We start from the raw sequence: 7722 nt of genomic DNA, 5'->3' as shown, positions 1-7722 counted from the left end.
AAGTATATATGTGTATATATATAAACTTCCATCATTGCAAACACTTATGCTAAAAAACAAAAGTTTTATATTATATGTGCATATTTCATATATGCGTATTTAAAGTATATCACTTTATTGCAAATATATTCAAATGAAAAATAGAAAAATCTAGGGCTAAAATGTGAGGAAGCTTTGCTTTAAATGAATGTTTAATTTAGCACTCTTTGCTAAACACAGGAATCTAAATTTAGGTCAATATAGGACATTTGTTGAATATCTGTTATAAAGTTATTAAAAATAAGATAGAAATGGTAATTCATATTACCTTTTCATTAACTCTCCCAAATTTAAGGTTGTAAATAATCTTATATATATTTTAACATCTTTTATTATGAAGATGAAGCCATTGAGGATTGGTAGTTATTTGCAAATTTGGAGAGCAAATGAATCTCTCAATTATTTATATCTCTTAAATATATGTATCTTAATTTGGGGTATTTTCATTTTTGAATATTTACTTATTTACAAGTAAAATGTCTAGCAGATTGGCATGTACTAAATGCTTAATAAACGATTGTGTTTTTGTCAGAACACATAATCACCATTCATTCTTACAATAAGTTTGTCATATGCAATTAAGATCTCCCTCTGATCTTGGTGACTAAGGTATCCTGCAGAATCCTATGCTCTTTCAGATGGAATTGAAGTCACACATATGTCCCATGAGTCACAGAAACTGAAGGAAATCCAGGAGTAAGAAAGAAAATAAAGGTACAGCTGCTGCTTTATTTGAATGAGTTGACTCAGCAGATCAGCAACAATTGAGTTGTACAAAATGGTTGTAGTGTCTCTTGTGCCTCTGCCTCTCCAGGAAAATCTTGTAGCCCACATGTATGGAAATATGCAAATAAAAGGAAATTATGAGAAGTATAGTTTATCTTAGCCAAGTAAGCATGTAGCAAAGTCTTTATAATGAAGACTACTGACATTTTGTTTTATTGTGAATATTGTTAAAAAAACATTGTAAATCACTGACTAAAAATTAAATGAGTAACAGAAAATATGATTAAATAGTTTACACTTTCATTGGCATTAGATGAAAATCTGTGCCTACTTAGAGGCTTTGGAATATTTATTTGATCTGAATATATTGACTTAATTTCAAAACATCAGTATACAAAATATGTAATTATTTAGGCCAATTAAATCAAGCATAATTTCATTCCATTAAATATATATACATTTATATATAATATATAAAATCTATGGTTTTTCAAAGTTTATTACATATGTATATATTGTTAAAACTATAGGTTATTTTAAATTAGGGGCTACATTTATAGGTCTGTAGCCTGACTGTGAAATTATATTAGATAAAAAGTTAAGAAAATATTTATTTCAAAGATTTTATTTAATTTCTTAGTTGCCTTGTCATTCTAGTCTTTTTTTCTTGATATATAACATTTAGCAAAATGAACAGCTCATTTTGAAAGTGATTTGTAAACTCTTAGTGACATTCAAATTGAGTTAATATAATTCCAATTCTCTTGTATTACATCTTATCCTTTACATTGTATTTTTCTACTTTCTTTCTCAAGACCGTAAAAGTTCTCTTAACAATATAATATTCAAAAATATTTAATTTGACCTACATTAATTAAGAAAACATATTACAGTTATTTTTACTTCTGAATAAAGTTAAAACTGCTTGTATATTAATCACATCATCAATTGATTATCTTATGCTATAATATGATTTATTTAAAATATGCCAAGCCAATTAAAAAGGAAATTTTTATAAAATCAATATCTCATCTTACCAAAAACATTAAGATAAAGTCTGTCATAACTTCAATTGTTTTTGAAATTGCTAATTAATATATGTAAGGAAACAACATGTAATTTAAGGTACTGTTAGGTTAAACAAACAGGCCGGGTGCGGTGGCTCACGCCCGTAATCCCAGCAATTTGAGAGGCTTAGGTGGGTGTATCACGAGGTCAGGAGATCAAGACCATCCTGGCTAACACGGTGAAACCCTGTCTCTACTAAAAATACAAAAAATTAGCCAGGCGTGGTGGCGGGCACCTGTAGTCCCAGCTACTCGGGAGGTTGAGGCAGGAGAATGGAGTGAACATGGGAGGCGGAGCTTGCAGTGAGCCAAGATCGTGCCACTGCACTCCAGCCTGGGAGAGAGCAAGACTCCATCTCAAAACAAAACAAAACAAAAAAACAAAAACAAAAACAAACAAACAAACAAACAAACCAGGAAGACCTAAGTGTGAGGCTGCCTCCGTACTTTGGGTTTCCACATAACAATCTGGAACATCACCCAGTATGTAAACAAACTAAAACCTAATTTTGTATATTTTGTAACAGATTTCTGGTCCCAGCCAATCATCAGCAATCTTATTTGGACCAGGTCCAAATAAGAAAATTGCCTAGGTGTAACCAATCAAGCTATTTCTCTGCTTTATTACCTGGTTCTGTCTATAAAAACCCGCTGCCAATTTGCTGAATTTAGCTCTCTGAACCTCTTTTGAGTACTGCTTTATTCATGATTCACTTTTTGCTCAAATGAACTCTGTTAAATTTAATTTAATGTATTCTAACAATATATTAAAAACCATTTCTCTGAGTTCTCGTACATAATAAAGATCAATACAAATAATTCAGAAAATAAACATGTCATTTAAAAAATCTGTTTTTTTTTACAATTTATAAAGTGAATAACATCGTTAGTTTCCAGAAATATAAACTTATTTTCTTAAAAAAGAAGTACACACACACAAATAGGTAAATAGTTACGAAGAACACACATGCATACTGTTTAATGGTGAGCAAATAAATGCAAACCCATCCCCAAAGCCTGAAGGACAAGAGAGGCCACAGAAGAGGCTGATGAATCCAGTTTTTCAGGGAAAGAAAAAAATTAAAGGGGACTTAAAAACAGAAGTAATGTCTTGAGTGGCCACAAGAGAGTGGATTCCCATATCTACACTCCAAAACATATTTTTTATAAAGGAAACTTTCAGGGTAAAACAGGTGCAGCTCGCCATGTCTTCAGACTTTCTTGCCAAGACTCATGACCACTGGGGAGGTTACACAACCACATTTATGATAAATTATCTATGTTAGAGGCATTGTTTCAAGGCCTATTGCAGAACATCTTTGTACATGAGAGCCAAACATTTGTCCTCATGGCAGTTTTACTTCAAGGTGGCATCTCTCTTGCCATGCAACAGGCTATTTTCCTAAACATACCTTCTTGATATATAACATACCATGCAACAGGCTATTTTCCTAAACATACCATTGTTTTTCCTAGATTATTTTTTCCTAGATTTTTTCCATTATTTTTTCCTAGATTAATGAGATTCTTTTAGGTTATATGTTTCATTGTATCTAATTCCCTTCCAATACAATATCAAGTGTAAAGATGTGTCTAATATTTCTTTAAAATATGCAAAAATAGAACTAAATGGTCATCCTTTGGAATGTTTGTCATCCTTTAGAAGATGCTTAAAAATGTCTTACACTATTAAATGGCTATGAATAACTTTACAAAATCTTACCATAAATCTAATTTTTTTAGACTTTAGTATTACAATTGCATCAGGCTTCATCACAGCAACTTTACTGCAAAAATCTAACTCAGACAAAAGAAATACTTAACCTAAAACATACATGATGTTTTATTTTTATCATGTAAGATCTAACTTTTTATAATAAGTTACTAATTTATCATGTAAAGATCCACTTTATCAGAAGAAAACACACACAACTTTAAATCATCTACACACTTTAAAGTACAAACAACACACTTTAAATCATCTACAATTTCTACTACTTATATGTTGTGTATAATTTGGCAATGGTAAAATAATTCATTCTTAGGTTTCTATTTCCTGTATCAGAATGCATTCTACTATTTTAATTCAAAATTACTTACTGTAACAGATTATATATTGTAGACAATGTCAAGGTTATTTCTAAGTATACAATTGGATAATAAATCTATGATATTATTTGAAGATTGATATGGTTTGGCTCTGTGTCCCTACCCAAATCTCATCTAGAATTGTAATCTTCACATGTTGAGGGAAGGACCTGGTGGGAGGTGAGTGGATCATGAGGGCAGTTTTTCTCATGCTGTCCTCATGATAGTGAGTGAGCTGTCACAGGATCTGATGGTTTACAAGTGTTTGGCTATTTCCCACTTTGTGCTCTCTCTCTATGTATTTGTCCTGCCACCTTGTTAAGAAGTTGCTTGCTTCTCCTTCAGTTTCTGTCTTGATTGTAAGTTTCCTGAGCCATGCAGAACTGTGAGTCAATTAAACCTTTGTTCTTTCTTTGTAAATTACTCAGTCTCATGCAGTTCTTCATAGCAGTGTGAAAATGGACTAATGCAGAAAATCGGTACCAGGTGTGGGGAACTGCCTGAAAATGTGGAAGAAACTTTGCAAATGGATAATGGGCAGAGGTTGAAACAGTTTGAAGGGCTCAGAAGAAGATGGGAAGATGTGGAAAAGTTTGGAACTTCCTAGAGACTTGTTGAATGGTTTTGACCAAAATGCTGATAGTGATATGGACAATAAAGTCCAGACGGAGGTGGTCTCAGATGGAGATGAGGAACTTGTTTAGAACTGGAGTAAAGGTCACTCATGCTATGCTGTAGACAAAAGAATGGCAGTATTTTGCTGCTGCTTGAGAGATCTGTGGAAATTTGAACTTGAGAGAGATGATTTAAGGTATCTGGCAGAAGAAATTTCTAAGCAGCAAAGCATTTAAGAGGTGACCTGGCTGATTCTGAAAACATCTAGTCATATGCATTTATAAAGAGATTATCTGAAACTGGAACTTTTATTTAAAAGGGAAGCAGAGCACAAAAGTTTAGAAAATTTGCAGCCTGACCTTGTGGTAATAAAACAAAAACAAACATTTTCTGGGGAGAAAATCAAGCCAGCTGCAAAAATTTGCATTTGTAATAAGGAGCCAAATGTTAATAGCCATGACAATGGGAAAAATGTCTCCAGGGCATCTCAGATACCTTCATAGCAGCCTCTCCCATCACAAGTCCAGAAGTCTAGGAGAGAAAAATGGTTTTTGCACTAGCTCCAGGGCCCTGCTGTTCTGTGCAGCTTCAGGACATGGTGCCTTGTGTCCCAGCTGTGTCAACTCCAGCTGTGGCTAAAAGGGGCCAAGGTACAGCTTGAGCCATTGCTTCAGAGGGTACAAGCCCCATTCTTGGTGGCTTTCATGTAGTGTTAGACCTGTGGGTACACAGAAGACAAAAATTGAGCTTTGGGAGCCTCTGCCTAGATTTCCGAATTTGTATGGCAATGCCTAGATGTCCAGGAAGAAGTTTGTGCAGGGTCGGAGCCCTCATGCAGAACTCTACTAGGGCAATGCAGAGCGAAAATGTGGAGTTGAAGTCCTGCACAGTGTCCCTACTGGGGCACTGCCTAGTGGAGCTGTGAGAAGAAGGCCACTGTCCTCCAGACCCCAGAATGGCAAATCTACACATAGCTTGCACTATGTGCTTGCAAAAGCTTCATGGACTCAACAGCAGCCTGTGAAACAGCTGTAAGGGATGGACCCTGCAGACTCACAAGGGTAAAGCTATGTAAGTCCTTGGGAGCCCACCCCTTGCAGCAGTGTGCCCTGGATCTGAGACATGGTGTCAAAGGAGAGCTTGGAGCTTTAAGATTTAATGACTGCCCAGCTAGGTTTTGGACTTGTATGAGACCTGTGGCCCCTTTGTTTTGGCCAATTTCTCCCATTTAGAATAGGAAAATTAACCCAATGCCTGTACTTCTATCATATCTTGGAAGTAACTAACTTTTTTTATTTTTATTTTTATTTTTTTCCTAGGAAGAAAGGACTTGCTTTGTCTCAGAGGAAATGTTGGACTTGAAGTTTTGAGCTAATTCTGAAATGAGTTAAGATTTTGGGGGACTTTTGGGAAGGCATGATTGGTGTTGAAATTTGAGGACATGAGATTTGGGAGGGGCTGGGGTGAAATAATATGGTTTGGCTCTGTGTCTCCACCCAAATCTCATTTTGAATTGTAATCCCCATGTGTTGAGGGAGAGTCCTCGTGGGAGGTGTTTGGATCGTGGGGTGGTTTCTACCATGCTCTTCTCATGATAATAATCGTTCACGAGATCTGATGGTTTAAAAGTGTTTGGCAGCTTGTCCCTCACTCTCTCTCTCCCCTGCCACCTTGTGAAGAAGGTGTTTGCTTTTCCTTTGCCTTCTGCCATTATTGTAAGTTTTCTGAGCCCTGTGGAACTGTGAGTTAATTAAACATCTTTCTTTTCTTTGTAAATTACCCGGTCTCAGGCAGTTGATTATAACAGTGTGAAATGGACTAATACAAAGGTCATGGGAGATATAAATTGCCAAATATTTTAATTTATAAACCTGATATCAATATTTGAATGTACATAGTTAAAGATTTATTTTCAATTTTATTTTTATCTTTTAGTAAATGCAAATAGGCATTGGTGGGTTGACCTGCTACAAATGTATATACCTTGAACATCTTAAGTTAGTGTGCTAGCAAATAATATTATTTCAAACTTGCCAGGTAAAAGAAATATAATATTGGGTGAGGGGAGTTATATTTGGAAATACTAACTGAATGATACCTAAGGACTTTTATATGGTTACTTATCTTGGAGAAAGTAGGGAAAAACAACAACTTCAAATTCAGGTCAGTGTGCCCACAAGTAGAAACGTATATAGTTACACACTGAGACCAAAATAACCAAGAGCAGTTTGAGGACAAGACATTTCTTGGCTCCAACATGTACTTGGGGACAGAACCTTCATTTACATTTTTGTCAGGATTGTAGTAGCAAAGCCACACCAGCAATGGAGCTGAGTAACTCATTAATTTAGCACTAAAATGAAATTTTCAAGTACTAATTTTTAGAAAGTAAATTTTTTTGGAAACTTATTTTCTAGGAAGTTAGAAAATATTTAGAAAACCGAAAGATTATGATGGGTTAGAGTATCTAAAAGATGCACATTTGAATTACAGCCTTCAAAATTTCTTTAATGATTAGTTCTCCATAAAGTTGAACAAAAATAAAAGAAAACTTGGTTAAAATTATGTATTTGTGATATGAATCTTACAGAGTAAGTTGGCTTCTTCTATTATGAAGAATCACATTTCGCAGGTGCTTTTCCTTAGAGAGAATGAGTTGGATGAGAAATACTGATAAAGGAAGAGCAACATAGGGGAATCATTTTAGATCAGTAGCATGGTAGTAGCTAGGAATACAGACACTGCCCTTCACATGGCATAACTTTGTTTTTGTCTCCTTGTCTGCTTTTCATGCAATTGGCATTTATCATAGTGTTCCTTCAAGTAGAGTCCATGCAACAACTGCATCAGAAATCACCTCTCAGGTGATGTTAAAATTCAGATTTCCAGCAAGAACTAATCAACTAGAATCTCAGAGTTATAGGGCTAGAAATCTGTATTCTAAGCTCCTTCAGTTTGGGCTAATGCTAGTGAAAATTTAAGAATCTTTAATTTGCCATTTACAAAGAGTTTATGTGTAGGAACTCCTTTTAAAACCTTATCATACCTGATAATTATTACTTTCTTGATTTCACTCTCCTATTCCTACGAAGTCATAAGATTTTCTCCAGGGAAATCTATATCCATCCATTAAAACATAATTTTTATATTAAAAACAACTTATGTAAAATGGAAGTTACCCAAAATT

The sequence above is a fragment of the Homo sapiens genome, chromosome 21 (genome assembly GCF_000001405.40).
Source record: "Homo sapiens chromosome 21, GRCh38.p14 Primary Assembly".
Taxonomy (NCBI): Eukaryota; Metazoa; Chordata; class Mammalia; order Primates; family Hominidae; genus Homo; species Homo sapiens.
Note: the sequence above shows the minus strand (reverse complement) of the source record.